The sequence below is a fragment of the Homo sapiens genome, chromosome 13 (assembly GCF_000001405.40).
Source record: "Homo sapiens chromosome 13, GRCh38.p14 Primary Assembly".
NCBI classification, from domain to species: domain Eukaryota; kingdom Metazoa; phylum Chordata; class Mammalia; order Primates; family Hominidae; genus Homo; species Homo sapiens.
In genome coordinates, this window is record NC_000013.11 from 94,708,680 (window position 1) to 94,725,319 (window position 16,640).

Sequence of the window (16,640 nt, forward strand, 5' to 3'; positions counted from 1 at the left end):
ACTTATAATATTGCAAAGAGCTCAGGGAATAACAGGAGAGGGATCATTTTAATTAGTGAATCAGGGTCAAACCAGCAGAGCCTATTTCTCACATTTCCAAAACTTTTCATGGTTTTTAAAATATTATTCCGTTGGGGGAAAACAATGACTTTAAAGACTTGGGTCGTTTATAAAGACGTGCAGCTCCAGAGATGGTCTCAATGGGGAAACTGGTTTAAGACTTGTATATAGTATCTTGAGAATTTCCATTTTGGTTGCGGGGGGGCGAGATCTTCCTATTTTTTTTTTTCTGACAGTCTTCTATTTCTTGTCTAAAATTAAAATCCTTTATGATTTTTCAAACTTTAGTAGCAATTTGTCTAGCCCTAGAAATCCAACCCTCTCCATTTGAATGTTATACTTCTACTTTAATGCGATTAGCATAACAAAATTAAGTCCTAAAGAGGCCAAAATTTGTACTTTGTCGTTAGTAGTGATTATCCTTCCAAATAAAACCTTAAGGTGTCAACAAGGAATACCCCAAAGATAGGAGAACAAATTACACTGATTTAAGTGGTGGGGCTCTTCAACTAACAAGATAAAGTGGTCAAGCAACTTTCCCCTCTTAAAATGTTACTAGAAACTGGTGAAATGCTTTGAAAGGTCTGGATGTTTTCAATGGGCTCTGTTCTACTGGTTCATGAATGCCTTTTTTTTGTTGTTGTTAAAGCTAATACAACGACTTGGGCTTTTTAAAAATCTTCTTTCCTATTCACGATTAAAAATGTGATAAATCAGGTTTTTGGCTCTGAATAACAATGGCTTGATTTAGATTTCCTAGTAAATCTATTCAAAAGTGAAACAAAGGGTGCCTTTGGAGGATACCTTACACTTCACCTGGACCAGGCACGTAAGGGCAATTCAGATAAAAATCTTGTTAGGAACTCAACAAGAAATAGAAGATTTTTCTTTTCCCTGGTTCAGGCTTTATTTAAACTCTTTGTTCAAAAAAAATGAACAGAGTGATAGTCGGATTCTAATTTACAGATATACCTTAGACGTCTAATATTAAATTAGAAGGTCACACTAGAAAATCATTTACACATAAAGGTTAAAACCATATTTAAAATTTTAAAAACTTTATATTACATAAAGCCAAAATGAAACTAAATACATGTTAGCCAACTTCATTCACAAACATTAGTCAAAATATATACATTTAAAAAGAAACAAAGCTAATAATTGAAGGTTCCTTTTTTCTAAAATGTGTTTTATTGCAATTTGCAAATGAATTGCAGGTGATCTAAAAAATAAGCCAATTGAGGAGGGAAATCCAAAACACATTAAACCAGCTCAACTTGGGAGAGAAATGCTAGCTGAAAATGAGAGACATCTGTTGAAACAATTCTGTGCTTTTTTTCTTCAGTTTTGCTAAATAATAAATATATAATTACCAGACAAAAAAGTCTGATTTAATCTTCGATAAAATTGCGATTCTGAAATAGTTTCGCAATTTTTAAAAGTTAACTTTGATATTCGCTCAAAATGTTTTTGAGTCTAAAGTCGACTCAAACTTAGGGCAACGAAAATAACACATTTTCCAAGCCTCAATGTTTTCACTGACATATACACATTTACAATCTTAAGGTGAACTCAGCCATAAGGGAAAATAGGAGCAGTGCCTTTTTCCTTTTTTGTAAACTGTGTCAGAAATCCAAGCGAGTGGACTCAGGGAGACTTCTAGTAGTTTGTTGTTGTTGTTTGTTTAGGAAGAAAATCCAATTGACAACTTTCATCTCACAAATATTTCTTGTTTGCGTTTCTTGCCCTTGAGAAAGAGCTCTTGCTCTGATTTGCAAATGGCGTGATAAACAAAAGAAACCGTGATCATCTCACACAAAAGGCCAGATTCGAGCCGGTCACTGGTCAAGAATGGATCTGGTTGGGAGTTCTGCTTGAGAGAACAGAGATCTGCAAAGTTCAAATAGTACAAACAGGGAGGCGAGGCTGCTCAGAGCCATCCCACTCCCAGAAACGAATGACACAAGCAGCTTTTCCCGTGTGCCAGCCATTTCAGACCTCACATTTGAACAGCGTGCATGCAACACGGACCGGGAGGGGGTTGGGGGTTGGGGGGCTGAGGGGCGAGGAAGAAGAATGAGAAACAAAAACAAAACCGACCATGAAACTTCCAACAAAACTGGAAAGGCCAACATGTCAAAAAGTTACTCCTCCACCTCCGTGGGTCAAAACGCAACAGGTTCCGAAGTGCAAAGCAAACGCCAACTGCTGCCGCACACAACCGCCTGCTTTCGAGTTGGCTGCCGAAGTGCGGGTCTGAAATGATCCTGCGAATTCACAGGCCTGCTCGCCCGCGCCCTTGCGCGCTTGGCCACTCCTGCCCCGCCTGGCCTCTCTGCCTCTACCTGGCACCTATACATTCTATGTACATACAAACCGGGCCCCCGGTCGCGGGAGGGCGCACGGGGAGGCCGCAGCGCTCGTACCTATACATATGTACACGTGTGCACACCGGTCCTCGCGAGGCGGCCCCGCGGGGTCATAGCGCGGCAGCGTAGGCCGCGGGGTAGGGGTCCAGCTGGGGCTTGCCCATGCCCGGCAGCAGGATGTAGGCGAGCGGCGGCTGCAGCCCGGGGCTGGGCCACGCGCTGCAGTTGCACGGGATCATGTAGCCCGGGTTGCCCGGGCTGGGGTGCGAGTGCGTGTGCCCCCCGGCGGCGGCGGCCGCCGCTGCAGCCGCCGCCGCCGCGCCGTGGAAGGCGCCCGCGCCCGCGGTCGGGTAGCCCAGCGACGACGCGTACGGGAGGCCGGACGAGGACGACGAGATCTCTGCCATTTTGGAGCCCAGGTCGAGCAGCGAGTAGGGGCTGCCCGCGGCGGCGGCGGCGGCGGCAGCGGCGGCGGCAGCGGCCGACTGCGGGAAGAAGACGCGTGCGGCGGCAGCGGCGGCGGCCGCGGCCGCCTTCTCGGGATTGGCGAGCAGCGACTCAGGCACCAGGCCGCCGCCCGCCCCCGCGTGCAGCCCGGCGCCCGCCTTGAGCGCAGGGTGCTCGGCGTCCGCCACGCCGCCCAGGCCGTAGGGCACCGGGAAGGCGAACTTGTCCTTCTTGAGCAGCGTCTTGGGCTTGCGCCGCGGCCGGTACTTGTAGTCGGGGTGCTCCTTCATGTGCATGGCGCGTAGACGCTTGGCCTCGTCGATGAACGGCCGCTTCTCCGACTCTGTGAGCAGTTTCCACTCGGCGCCCAAGCGCTTGCTGATCTCCGAGTTGTGCATCTTGGGGTTCTCCTGGGCCATCTTGCGCCGCTGAGCCCGCGACCACACCATGAAGGCGTTCATGGGCCGCTTGACGTGGTCCACCGGCTTGGACATGCTCTCGCCCTGCCGCGGCTGCAGCCCGCCGCCTCCCGGGCCCTCGCCCTCGGCCCGGAGGAAATCAATGTTGGCTGCCCGCGGAGACCCGCTCGGCCGGCCGGGGCTCGTCGCGCCCCGGCGTCGCTCCCGCCCCGGAGGAGGGGGCTGGGGGACCAGCCCAGGGCCACGCCGCGCCCCGGGCCGCCTTAGTGTCTCCGGCCGAGCGCTCGAGCAGGTTGTCTCTGGGACACTCTAACTTCTCGGCGGTGCCCCCTCCCCGCGGCGGCAGTTTGCCCTTTACGTTCTTTGGGTCCTTCGTCTGCAGTGGCGTTTGCTGGTGAGCTCCCCGCAGGTAGCGGCGGCCGGGCAGAGCGCTCCTCCTCCTCGGTCGTTCTCTCTTAAATGCAAAGCGTCCCCAAAAGTTGCGTCGCGGAGACTCCTCGAAGTTGAGCCGAGGAGCCCGCCGCCGCGTGCTGCCAAGTGCCAAAGGGGGCTCTCAGCGGCTGGAGTGTTTGGGTTCTCCTCGGTGACTTTCTCATTTGACAGAAGCAGATGGGGGTGGGGAAGGCGGGGAGGTGGCCCTGGAGGAGGAAGAGGAGGGGGAGGCGGAGGAGTGTCCAGGCGTGCCACGAGAACGCAGAGCGCAGCAATGGATATAAATACAAATACAGCAGCACCAGCCTGTCTTCTTGGCTCCGGGCAGGGTGCGCCGATGGGAAACCCCCAATCGGCTGGGTGATTTTTTTTTTTTGGAGGGGGGAGCTGTCCCCCGCAGCACCTGCCTCTCGAGTCTTCCTCTCCCGCTGCTGGACTGACGGGTGGGGCGAGGAAGGAGGGTGGATGAGGCTTGAGCAAGCGTTGGTCGCCCGGCCTCAGAGGAAGTTCTCCCGGCTCGCCGAGGAGCCGCGTCCGGCCGTCCCCTGGGCCATGCCGGCTCTGTTCGCTCCGAGCCCCTTCAGGCGCGCCTGCCGACTTAGGGCTCCCGGAGCTCGCCGGCCGCGGAGGGCAGCGCAGCCTCCACGCGGCGCCGCAGGCCTGGCACCGGCCGCGTCCCCGCCTCGCTCTTCTCGGCAGCCGCCTGGCACTTGCAACTAACTTCGCCCAAGTTTCCTGCGCCGCGGCGCCCCTCTCGGCGCGCTCCTGGGAGCGTGCGCCCGCGAGTCCGCCGCGCCCGGGGCCCCTCTGTCCTCGCTGCTGTGGCCAGAGCCGAGCCGGCGCAGGGGCGGAGGTGCTGCAGGAGAGTTAAGGAAAACGGGCCATCACCTCAGTTCGCAGGTCCGCGCTGTGGCACCTCCCGCTCTCCCCACTCCCGCGGCGCAGGGGGCCCCTTCCCAGCCCAGGCCGCCCTCTGCACCGGCTCAGGTGAGTGTGGCTACCTGCATGTGTGCGCGCCCGGAGCCGGCACTGGGTGTGCATGTCCAGCCGCGGCTGTGTGTGTATATCTGGGGGCCTGCGGAGGAGGTGGAGCCCAGGACTCGGGGAGGGAGGAGGGATCAGCGGAGCCGCCTCCCGCTCCCACACCCCCAGGACCTCGAATTAACAGATCCCCTCCGCCCCCCGCCCCCTCCCAATCCTCCTCCTCCCACTCCTTTTCACTTGAGAGCAGGTTTAGGCGAGTGGAGAGTCCGGAGCGCGCCGGGGAGTCTGCGCCCTGTTTGGCGTTGGCAAACCCTGGTGTCATCCCGGCTACCCAGGCCGGCCTGGCGTGCAGCTGCCCTGGTTGTGGCCCTGGAATCCTCGCCGGGAGGAAGAAGGCGGCGGGCACGAGTAGGAGAGCCTCTCCAGCTACGGAGGAAGAGGGTTAAACCTGGAGAAGGGGAGACTCACCCTTGAAAATGTTTGAGACTGTTCCTAGCAAGAAAGTGCTCATTTTCCTTGGAGGTCCAGGTGTTGCTTGCAACAGAAACAGAGGCTTCTCGCATTTTCTTGCACTGGCGATGCACCTAGTCAGAGGTAGTGGAGTGAAAAATAACTCTGGAGGGAATAAGGACATTCTTGGCAACCTTTCCAAAAAAGAGCTAGCCCAGACTGAGAGTATGCATCCTTGACTGACTATTCAGCTCTTTAAAAATTCTGTGTTGTTTGTCTTTTGTTGTAATCTTGGTCGCCAGAACCATCTATATACTGATCTCTTTAAGGTACAGTTAACTTACAGTGTCTCACTTACATGCGCTGCTGAGGTGAAGGTGTTTAAAATCAATAAGTGTAAGTAGTTTCCCTGGAAGAGAGAAGTAAAACGTACCAATCACTCAGTGCTGGAATATTTTTATGCTAAGCATAATTTCCTTCTTTAGTAGTTAGAGCAGTTTTTTAAAAAAAATAGTTAACACGATGCAGAAGTCAAACAGCATGATTCTGTTTCCGTATTTTCCTCACTTTTTGGTATGCTGCGGCACATTTAGAACATGATCTGTCTGGAGGTTTTATTCACATGGTGGCCTGCCCTTCAGGGAGAACTTGCTTGCCTTCTTTCTTTGGCAGTTTGGATTTGACCTAGCCCTGTGGTATGTGCAAGTAGGAACATCTACAAACGGTTAACTCTTTAAGTCTTCCTACGATTTATGTTCAGTTCATTCACACACACACACACACACACACACACACACACACAAAAGCTTTGATTGTAATTATGAACGTGAATTAAAACTGTTTCAGGCCATCAGATTTATGTAAAAGTTAGGCTTGTTTTGTTCATTTTAATAAAAGAATAGTGACTTAAAAATTACAGTCGTGATAACAAAACTGTGAACAGCAGTGGCATCTATGTGGGTTTTTGTTTTTCTGAAGATGTCGTATTGACAAGCTTATTTTGTATCGGTTATGCCCTTGCATTGTTAAAATAATTGGACTGATTTCTCCAGAACCATATTCCTTTACAGGCTCTGTAAAGACACTCTTGTCATTCACAGACTCTGGCTGGAGCAATGGGAAAACACTAGCATGTGTAATTACATAGACTGGAATATTAAATATACTGTTTTGTGATGATAAACTACAAAATTATCGTCCCTGAGCTTTTCACCTACTGACTTATAGGTTTGAGACAAAAATACTATACACTGGAACATAAAGAACATATGTATATATAGGCCACAAAACATGAAATCTGTTATTCACTAAATATTGTGAATAAAGTTAAATTTAATCGTGAAAATTATTTTGACACATAAAAAGGGAGAAGGATTGTGAAAATGTGTTTTATATTAGTGAGTTAAGTGATTTTATACTATTCAAATTTAAGTGTAAAAATCTACTGCAATAAATTATTACATTAGAAATGTTTGTATATATGATTGAAATGTATGCTTACATGTGCAATGTCTTATAGGAATAATATATGTAAGGTTCCTTGGCTATAGTTTTTTCCAGTATACATTTACAATATTGTCTGTCTAGTGATATTAAATGAGCCAAATTTGAACACTCTCAAGTCCAAGAATGTTGAACTGTGGGAAACAAAGGTGTCATAAGAAGAAAATGACTATTTGTGTGCTTGTCTATTCACCAAATGAAACTTCCCACATTTCAAAATAGGAAAGATTTGGTTTTAGTTCTTGGCTTCTAGGGGATCAATATTCTTGGCCTAACCCTTCACAACCAAAGAAAGAGCCCTCATAATCGGCCATTCATTAAAGAAAGGCAATGTGGCATTGCTGTTATTAACCAGCCTTCACACCTCTTGCCTGAATCTGGTTGAGCTTTTAACAAAGTAAATTTTCAAGCCATTTTCATTCATATGTACCAAAATGTAAATTTGCTTTTAATTTCCTCATATCTTGTGTTTGAATTGATAGAGGTATATTTTTATTCTTGCTCAGTTTTGTCCTAAAGATTAAAAAAATCCCAGCATATAGGAAATGGAATAGTCTGTGTGAGTGAATAGTGAAGGAAAATAAATTGAAAGAGAATTGTAAGTTTGATGAGCTTTATTTTGTCAACTCTTGATTGTAAACACCTAAAGAACAGTATAGATTTGATCGGTAGAATTCGTGTGGGTCTGTATTTCCCTTGCGGCCACAGTGATATATGTGATCGCAAATGTATCTAGTCGGAAACTGAGTGACACTCCCTCAGAAAAAGTTGTGGGCCTGTGTAAATTGAGTTTCCTCTTTTCCCCCTTCAATTCTCCCCAGAAAATAGTCTCTTTTCAATTCTAAAACTTTCACTAGGAGGCAGCAATGAGATTGTTGGGGAATAAAAAATACCTTGGCAACACGACAGGCTGGCTTGCTTGCTTTCTCTTCCACAAGGGAGGGGAGAATTCTTGGGTCCCAATGTGAACAGAATCATTGTCCCCCATCATTTCATCCTCCTCTCTCTCATTGGATTTTCACCTAGGTGGCTCATTGTCACATTTTTCTAGAACCATAGGGATGATAAAGCAGCAAGCCAATGGGGTAATGAGAGGTGACTAGATGGAAGTGATGGGCAGTGAAGGTGATACCTTCAAAGTGCAGAGGCCAAATAATCATTCATGGACACTGAGAGCTGACAGCTGTTGTTAGAGAATGTTGGAGATCTGTTCTTAAGCAAGTGCAGTGGAAGAATTCAGAAGCTTTCATACCTGCATAGAGAGGTGATATAGCCTGTTTGTCCTGTTAAGAAGAAAATGAGAAGACTGTGACAACAGCCAACCCTGAGGCTTTTGCCACAGTTCTCTGGTCTCACTCCTATTAGCCCCCAAAAGGGGGAAAAATCCCAAACACATGATCTCCGTAAAGCCCAAGAGACAAAAAGAGCTGTTTGAGGTCAAGTCATGATGGAAAGCAACGGCTGTAAGAGTGGCCCTTCACCAGTGCCTGCTAATTTTTTTATCCTTTTGAGATTTCTGTCCTTTTATTCTCACTGTTACTGCCACACTTGGAAACTGGGAATATACAGATCAATCATGGAGAACACCTTTCCTCATGTCTCCTGAGCAGGGCTCAAGCAGGCTGACATTTTCAAAAGGAGCCTTACCTAGAGGATAGAGCAGGAAAAACAATGTCAAAAACAGTCCCCTCTTGCCCCCCGCAAAAAAAAAAATAAGAGAAAAAAGACAATACAAATAATTCAAAACAGACAACTTCACAAAGTACCTATGTCAAATCCCAAGAATCCTATAAAAGCATAATTTTCTTAGGATAAGAACCTTTTTTGTTTTGTAAGTGAGAGGGAGCTAATCTTGAATAAAACTAGAAATGAATGAGGAGGGTTGGATAGTGAGGGTGTCATTGGCCTGGGTAGTGAAAACTTCCAGCCTTCTGTAGCTATTACATGAGGAGACTGGCTTTTGGTAGGGTGGGGTTCCTTGTGAATGATGAATCACCAACCATGCCCCCGTTTATTTTGAGAAGAACAAACCTGAGAAAGGGGGTTCTCTTAAATATCCCAGCAGGGTGGTAGATAAGCCATGCTTCTGGCTTTACAGAAGTCACTCTGACTGTCCCCCTCTTCCAGCTTCTGGCTTGCCCAGCCCTGTGCCTTCCTCCCACTCATATTCAGGTTCCTATCTAAGGACGGGTCTGCTTTAGAGCTAAATTGCTGAGTGGCTCTGCTTCTTAAAAGAATAAAAAAATACATAGCTATCAGTTATTGAGTTTTAAGATACCACACCTTTTGCACACATTATTCTATTTAACTTTTAGGAAAACCCTGTGATGTAAGCATTACCATCTCCAATTTGCAGACTGGGGAACGAAGCCTTAGAGCAGATGAGTAAGTAACTTGCCTAAAGTCACACAACCATAAAAGGAAGAATTGGGATTTGAACTAAGCTGATGTTTTTAACCTCCAGCACTTAGAGTCCCAATGGAAGGCTCAGCCCCTTTCCAGTGCAGATTCTCAATTCTATCTACTTCCCCAAGCTTTGTGTGACTCATTCAGCGCCCCACTCCCTCTATGAGGGAGTAGCCCAGTGGCAATCTCCCCAGTAAGGCATTCCAACCCCACAACAACGACACCCCAATCAGAAGAAGCAGTTTCTCTAAGTCCCATCCCTGCTGTTCTGGGGCCAGGCCTCCCCTTGCTCATGTAGCCCTCAGCACAGATTTGGTGTCAGCTGCAATCCACCATCACTCACTCCCTAGGCCTCCCGCTGCAAACACTGAACAATTGCCTGCCCTGAATAAACCCAATCTCTACCCTTTCTCTGATAGCCAAAGGCTGCTCCAACAATGTTATCTAATTTCAGTCTTTATTTTCTCCCAACCCTAGATGTCCGGCCTTTCCCTCCCTTTCTACCTTTCTTTTGTGAACCCCAAGTACACAAAATTGGTTTAATCACAGTTCGTGACTCATGATTCACTCTCATAATTGGTCCATCAATGGCCTAGTTTTCTTTAGTTAGTTATATTTAATACTTTAACAAGTGCTTTTATGAGTCCACCACTCAAAATAAAATCTGCCAATAAACCTAACTAAATGATCTCTCCAGTAAACTCTGCACTCGCCTTCCCCAACCCAATGTAGCTATTTTCATTCCATTGATTTTTATATAGTTTTGCTTTCTTTTTTTTAACAATACATATAGCATACTTATTTATTTATTTATTTTTTATTAGTATACTTTAAGTTCTAGGGTACATGTGCACAACATGCAGGTTTGTTACATATGTATACATGTGCCATGTTGGTGTGCTGCACCCATTAACTCATCATTTACATTAGGTATATCTCCTAATGCTATCCCTCCCCACTCCCCCCACCCCACAACAGGCCCCAGTGTGTGATGTTCCCCTTCCTATGTCTAAGTGTTCTCATTGTTCAATTCCCACCTATGAGTGAGAACATGCGGTGTTTGGCTTTCTGTCCTTGCAATAGTTTGCTGAGAATGATGGTTTCCAGCTGCATCCATGTCCCTACAAAGGACATGAACCCATCCTTTTTTATGGCTGCATAGTATTCCATGGTGTATATGTGCCACATTTTCTTTATCCAGTCTATCATTGATGGACATTTGGGTTGGTTCCAAGTCTTTGCTATTGTGAATAGTTTATATAGTTTTTCATCTAGATGTATGCTTTAAAAATATGTTTTTATTTTATTGTGTTTTTAACATAGAAGTTTTCATAAGTTAAATTTTTTGTATGTAATCTTTATTGTCTAACTTTTGTATATAATCTTTATTGTATAACTTTGGATTCATCAATGTTACTGCATGTCACTGTAGTTTATTCATTTTAGCTGCTACTAATATTTGGTTATGTAAATATACCACAGTTTATTGCTTACTGTCATGTTGATGAGCATGTGGGTTGTCTTCAGTTTTTAACCATTATGAACTGACTGCTATATGCATTCTTGTTTGTGTCTACTGTTGGACATGTGTACAAGTGAAAAGCTGTAAAAATGGGAAACCCACTTGTGCTTTACCCTTTTTCCATGTAGATCCCTTTGAGTTTCTGTTCACTTTTGATTTTTTTTCTAGGCATTCAGGGGTTTTTATATTTTTGTCCCAAGTTTATTATTTATAGGAGGGTTGGTCTTATAGGAGCCATTTCTGTGTTACCAGCATCCATCTGAAATTGATTTTTATGTATAGTATGAGGTTTGACATTTTTTCCATATAGATAGTCAATTTTTTAGAACCATCAATTTTAAAAATTGCATTTTTATACCACACATGTGTGCTACCTTTGCCCTAAATAAAATTGATGTAAGTTGGTTTCTGAGCTATTTTGCTTTATGTTTAAAATTTTTTCTATTTTTGCACCATATTGCACTATCTTAATTCTGATAAGGAGCAAGTTCTCCCATCATTTTCATCTTATTCAAAAGTATCTTGGCTATTCTTGGCCTTTGCATTTCTATATAAATCTTAGAACAGATTGTCAGGTTCCAAATACTTTCTCTCTCTCTCTCTCTCCCTCTCTCTCTCTTTTGAAACAAGGTCTCACTCTGTGGCCTGGGATGGAGTGCTGGGGCATAATCATGACTCATTGAAGCCTTGACCTCCCAGGCTCAATATCCTCCCATCTCAGCCTCCCAAGTAGCTGGAACCACAGGTGTGTCCCATTATGTCCACTAATTTTTTATTTGTTGTAGAGATGGAGTCTCTTTATGTTGCCTAGGTTGGCCTCGAATTCCTGGGGTCAAGAGATCCTCCCATCTCAGCCTTCTAAAGTACTGGGATAACAGGCATGAACCACCATGCCTGCCCCCAAATATTCTTTAAAAACTGATTTTCTTTTCTTTTCTTTTTTTTTGAGACGGAGTCTCGCTCTGTTGCCCAGGCTGGAGTGCAATGGCGAGATCTTGGCTCACTACAACCTCTACCTCCCGGGTTCAAGCAGTGCCCTGCCTCAGCCTCCTGAGTACCTGGGATTACAGGCACCTGCCACCACATCCAGCTAATTTTTTTTTGTATTTTTAGTAGAGATGGGGTTTCATCATCTTGGCCAGGCTGGTCTTGAACTGACCTCGTGATCCACCCGCCTTGGCCTCTCAAAGAGCTGGGATTACAGGAGTGATTATTTTTTTTAAAAACCTTTTAATCAAGACTGCTATAAATCTCTAGGCTGACTTAGGGAGAATTGACATCTTCACATTGTTAACACTTCTAATTCACGAACTTAGTATCCTTCCATTAATTTCATTGTTCTGAGGGGCACAGTGGCTCATGCCTATAATCCCAGCACTTTGGAAGGCTGAGGTGGGTGGATCACGAGGTCAGGAGTTGGAGACCAGCCTGACCAACATGGTGAAACCTCATCTCTACTAAAAATACAAAAATGAGCTGGGCGTGGTGGAACACACCTGTAATCCCAGCTACTCAGGAGGCTGAGGCAGGAAAATCGCTTGAACTCGGGAGGTGAAGGTTGCAGTGAGCTGAGATCGCGCCATTGCACTCCAGCCTGGGCAACAGAGACTCCATCTCAAAAAAAAAATAAAAAATTCTATTGTGCTTTCATTTATCTCAGTAATATAGTTTTCTGGTAAAGTTCTTACACATTTAAAATTCCTAGGTTTTTAAAGTATTTTTGATACTATTACAAATTGCGTATTTTTAAGATGATATCTTTTTTTATATATTTTATAGTTTTGAGATGGAGTCTCACTCTGTCGCCCAGGCTGGAATGCAGTGGCTTGATCTGGGCTCACTGCAGCCTCTGCCTCCTGGTTTCCAGAGATTCTCCTGCCTCAGCCTCTGGAGTAGCTGGTACTACAGGTGCCCACTACCATGACCTGCTAATCTTTGTATTTTTAGTAGAGATGGGGTTTCACCACCTTAGCCAGGCTGGTCCCAAACTCCTGGCCTCAAGTGATCTGCCTGTCTCAGCCTCCCAAAGTGCTGGAATTAGAGGTGTGAGCCATGGCACCATGCCAAGATGATACCTTTTTTAAAAGATAGTGTCTTTTTAAGAATTTGATTTTCTGTTTGTTGCTGGTATGTAGAAATACAATTAATTTTTATATACTGACTTTGTAAGTTGCTATCTTGTGATACCATTTTTATTTTACTTTTTATTTTTTGTTGTTTTGAGACAGGGTCTCACTCTGTCACCCAGGCTGGACTGCAGTGGCCTGATCTCTGCTCACTGCAACTTCCACCTCCTGAGTTCAAGCAATTCTCATGCCTCACCCTCCTGAGCAGCTGGAACTATAGATGCGTGCCACCATGCTCTGCTAAGTTTTTGCATTTTTGGTAGAGACGGGGTTTCACCATGTTGCCCAGGCTGCTCTCAAACTCCTGGGCTCAGGCAATCCACCCACCCATCTTGGCCTCCCAAAGTGCTGGGATTGCAGGCATGAGCCACCGCACCCAGCCCAAAACCATTTTTAATTCAAATGATTTATTTGTAGTTTTTTTGAGGTTTTCTATGTCCAAAATCATATCATCTGTGAATATTGAGAGTTTTCTTTCTTCCTTTCCCATTCTTAAATATTTTATTTATTTTTCTTACCTTACTGCACTGTCTAGATTCTTCAGTTTGTTGCTGAACAGAATTCGTGATGGTAGGTGTCTTTGTCTTTTTCCTGATCAACGTACGGCATAGCTGGGGGTCACCGTACTCTTTTCAGAGCTTAACCTAGTCCAGCCCTGGTCCCCACTGCCACTCAATCACATACATCTATGCATCTTCCTGGAATTATGCTTGGTTATGCCTTTCTTAGTTTAGACAGTTGACCAAACAAGTCATCCAGTCTTTATCTCTAGAACAAGAACTCCACCTGGTTTAGTCCATGAACTCCGAACACTGAAGGAGTAACTCCTTCCTTAGTTCCTCCATCAGCTTAGCATAGATTTTTGCCAAATATAATTGCTCAGCACTTGCCTGGTTATGGTATTACGCTATTTGCTTCAGCTTGGTTTTATCCTGCTGTGCTATCTGCATCTCACCTTAGGAAACGTGGCCTCAGTACCTGCACCATTAGGCACAAACTCCAGAGTCTGTGTCACAGAGCCAGTTTTCCGTAGTTTCTTCCACTACTTCTGGAGCGTGTGACTGCTTGGTTCAGCCTCAGTGCCTAGTGTCTTGAAAACAAGCCAAGACCCCCAATCATTGCACGTGGTCCAAACATTTTAAATGAGGACATTTGTTTTACCCAACAGCATAGTGTTCCCTTCCTCTAGAGGCAGGGTAAAATAACCCATGAGCAAGCAAATGCCATAATTCCTTCTAATTTTTGTAACTGGAATGTAATAAGAGGACACAAGACGGGAATCCTGAAGTATTCAAGAACAGTGATTAGTCTGATAGCCATCTGCACCTAATCATCCCAGCTGCCTGAAAAGTTAACTCATGACCTCAGTGGACTTATCACCCCCTGGTATTTGTAGAGCCACATTGTAATTTAGTGCTTTGTTTGTGCACTAAAGTGTTTCTATACACTAACTTCCTAGTTGACGTGTCCTTTTGTTCATTATCAGCCGCCAATTTCACATTCCAGTCGGTTGTCAGGAGTGGCTAGACTCTCTGATCATAGGCAAGCCTGCAGCGCTGCTTTTCAATACACTTTTAAAACAGTATTTGACGTTTATGCATGTATATTGTCTACCAGCAAGTATATCTATTGCTGTCAAACAAAGCCCTGGATTTGATTAAAAAAAAATTTGTCTTCCTTTATTTACTTGAGGCCAAAGGGGGCATTCATTGTATCACAGGACTGGCTTTTTAGCAAAATTCTGACTTTACTATAAGGACACGTGGCAGTGAGTTAAGGGGTTAGCAACAACCTGACAAGAAAATACTGTCTGACGGATCTGTTAGTAATAACATGGAGTTGCGCTTTTTTTTTCTTTTTTCTATTTTTTTTTTTTTTGAAACAGGGTCTTACTCTGTCACCCAGGCTGGAATGCAGTGGTGCAATCTCAGCTCACTGTAGCATTGACCCCCCCGGGCTCAGGTGATCCTCCTTCCTTAGCCTCCCAAGTAGCTGGGACCACAGGTGTAGACCACCACACCCAGCTAATTTTTGTATTTTTTGTAGAGATGGGGTTTCACCATGTTGCCCAGGCTGGTCTTAAACTCCTGAGCCCAAGCAATCCGCCTGCCTCAGCCTCCTAAAGTGCTGGTATTACAGGAGTGAGCCACAGTATCCAGGCTGGAGTTGCTTTTCCTATAAACCTTTTCTGACGCAACTTCAAGAGACTGAGTTGGCTAGTCCCTACTTTATGATTCTTCATACACTGGATCACCTATTATTCTAGTGCCAATACGTCTTGGTTACAACTGTTAACTCATATGTGTTTCCTTACTTAACTTTAAACACCCCAAGGGCAGGGACCATATCTTACTGATCTTTGTATCTCAGCACCTAGCAAGCCTCCTGGCACCAAATAGGCACTCAATAAATTGTTGATGAATGAACGAATGAATCAACTACATGCTCTGAGTCTGTGCACAGCCAAGGAGAAAGGAGAGGTTCAGGACCTAACCTTGTGATTCAGACACAGGATTATTAAGCTAATCTTAATTAATTAATCTTAATGAAGTCTAGAGTAGTGCTGGAAATGAAATGACTTAAACACTGTTTCTGATACCCACAAGTAACGCTCCCACATTGTTACCTCCTATCATCAGTATAGTTCAAGTATAATCTGCCCCACCTCCCCTCTTCTACCAAACAGTTTGGTCATTATGTAAGTCCTTAATTTTAAATTGCTATTAAGGATATATCTGTAACAAAGGTAACAGCTTTTAAGTTTCCACTATAGAAATTGTTCAATCTCACCAGGCGCAGTGGCTCACGCCTGTAATCCCAGCATGTTGGGAGGCCGAGGCGGGTGGATCACCTGAGGTCAGGAGTTCAAGACCAGCCTGGCCAACATGGTGAGACCCTGTCTCCACTAAAAATATAAAAATTAGCTAGACGTGGTGGCAGGTGCCTGTAATCCTAGCTGTGCAGGAGGCTGAAACAGGAGAACTGCTCGAACCCAGGAGGTGGAGGTTGCAATGAGCCGAGACTGCGCCATTGCACTCTAGCCTGGGTGACAAGAGTGAAACTCTATCTCAAAAAAAAAAAATAAATAAATAAGAGAAATTGTTCAGTCTCTGTATTTATTTATCTATTTAATTATTTATTTATTGAGATGGAGTCTCACTCTGTCGCCAGGCTGGAGTGCAGTGGTGCCATCTCGGCTCACTGCAACCTCCACCTCCCGGGTTCAAGCGATTCTCCTGCCTCAGCCTCCCGAGTAGCTGGGATTACAGGCATGTGCCACCAAGCCCAGCTAATTTTTTTATTTTTAGTAGAGATGGGGTTTCACCATGTTGGCTAGGATGATCTCGATCTCTTGACCTCATGATCCGCCCGCCTTGGCCTCCCAAAGTGCTGGGATTACAGGCGTGAGCCATCACGCCCGGCCAATCTCTGTTTTTAAATGTGCCTTGACTATAAAATGAAAATTTATCTGATTGAATTAAGATATGCTTTTGTATTTTAATAAAATGATTAGAGTAGCAACATGACTGGTGATTGTATATTTTCACTGGATACATTTTAAGAATTACATGTTTTTTTTTCCTTTACATGCTGTTACTGTGAATAATATAACTTCTACTCTGAATTCTGTGGACCTATGGCGATGGAGCTTAGGGAGCTCTCAGTTGTACTCAAGGTGTGCTCATTATTTTTGTTATGGCAGCCTAGGATGACTATTAGAGCTCGATTTCCAAAAGCTCCATTTGATTCACAAAAGAGGGGCTTGGGAAGAGGGCAGGTGACAGGGGGCTTGAAGATTTTGTTTTGAACTTCTGTTATGGATTGAATTGTATCCCCTCTAAAGTCATATGTTGGAACCCTAGAGTGGCTATATTTGGAGATGAGACCTTTAAGGAAGTAACTAGGGTTAAATGGGGTCAAA

General features: G+C 45.1%; 1 protein-coding gene and 2 long non-coding RNA genes across 3 annotated transcripts, besides 1 other annotated feature; 1 reads left to right on the top strand and 2 right to left on the bottom strand.

Moving 5' to 3' along the window:
• Window positions 1–942: 942 nt before the first annotated feature.
• Window positions 943–3,866, bottom strand: SOX21 (SRY-box transcription factor 21). Its single transcript, NM_007084.4, has one exon. The coding sequence runs from the start codon at window positions 3,368–3,370 to the stop codon at window positions 2,540–2,542; it is 831 nt and encodes a 276-aa protein (NP_009015.1). The 5' UTR covers window positions 3,371–3,866; the 3' UTR covers window positions 943–2,539.
• Window positions 3,867–4,036: 170 nt separating this feature from the next.
• SOX21-AS1 (SOX21 antisense RNA 1) lies at window positions 4,037–7,266 on the top strand. The gene is made up of 2 exons (NR_046514.1): window positions 4,037–4,714; window positions 4,959–7,266. It is a non-coding gene; the product is annotated as an SOX21 antisense RNA 1 (long non-coding RNA).
• LOC112268114 (uncharacterized) lies at window positions 4,041–4,764 on the bottom strand. Its single transcript, NR_158368.1, has 2 exons — window positions 4,729–4,764; window positions 4,041–4,583 (listed from the first exon to the last, which is right to left on the bottom strand). It is a non-coding gene; the product is annotated as an uncharacterized LOC112268114 (long non-coding RNA).
• Window positions 4,590–5,091: an enhancer, noted in NCBI's record as "H3K4me1 hESC enhancer chr13:95365523-95366024 (GRCh37/hg19 assembly coordinates)". NCBI's record gives its function as "activates a minimal SCP1, AML or CMV promoter by ChIP-STARR-seq in naive H9 embryonic stem cells {active_cell/tissue: H9 hESC(naive)}" and the evidence as "EXISTENCE:reporter gene assay evidence [ECO:0000049][PMID:30033119]".
• Window positions 7,267–16,640: the final 9,374 nt, after the last annotated feature.

What these genes read in the sequence shown, in the direction of transcription:
- SOX21 (NM_007084.4), bottom strand. Translation starts at nt 3,370, where the DNA reads ATGTCCAAGCCGGTGGACCACGTCAAGCGGCCCATGAACGCCTTCATG.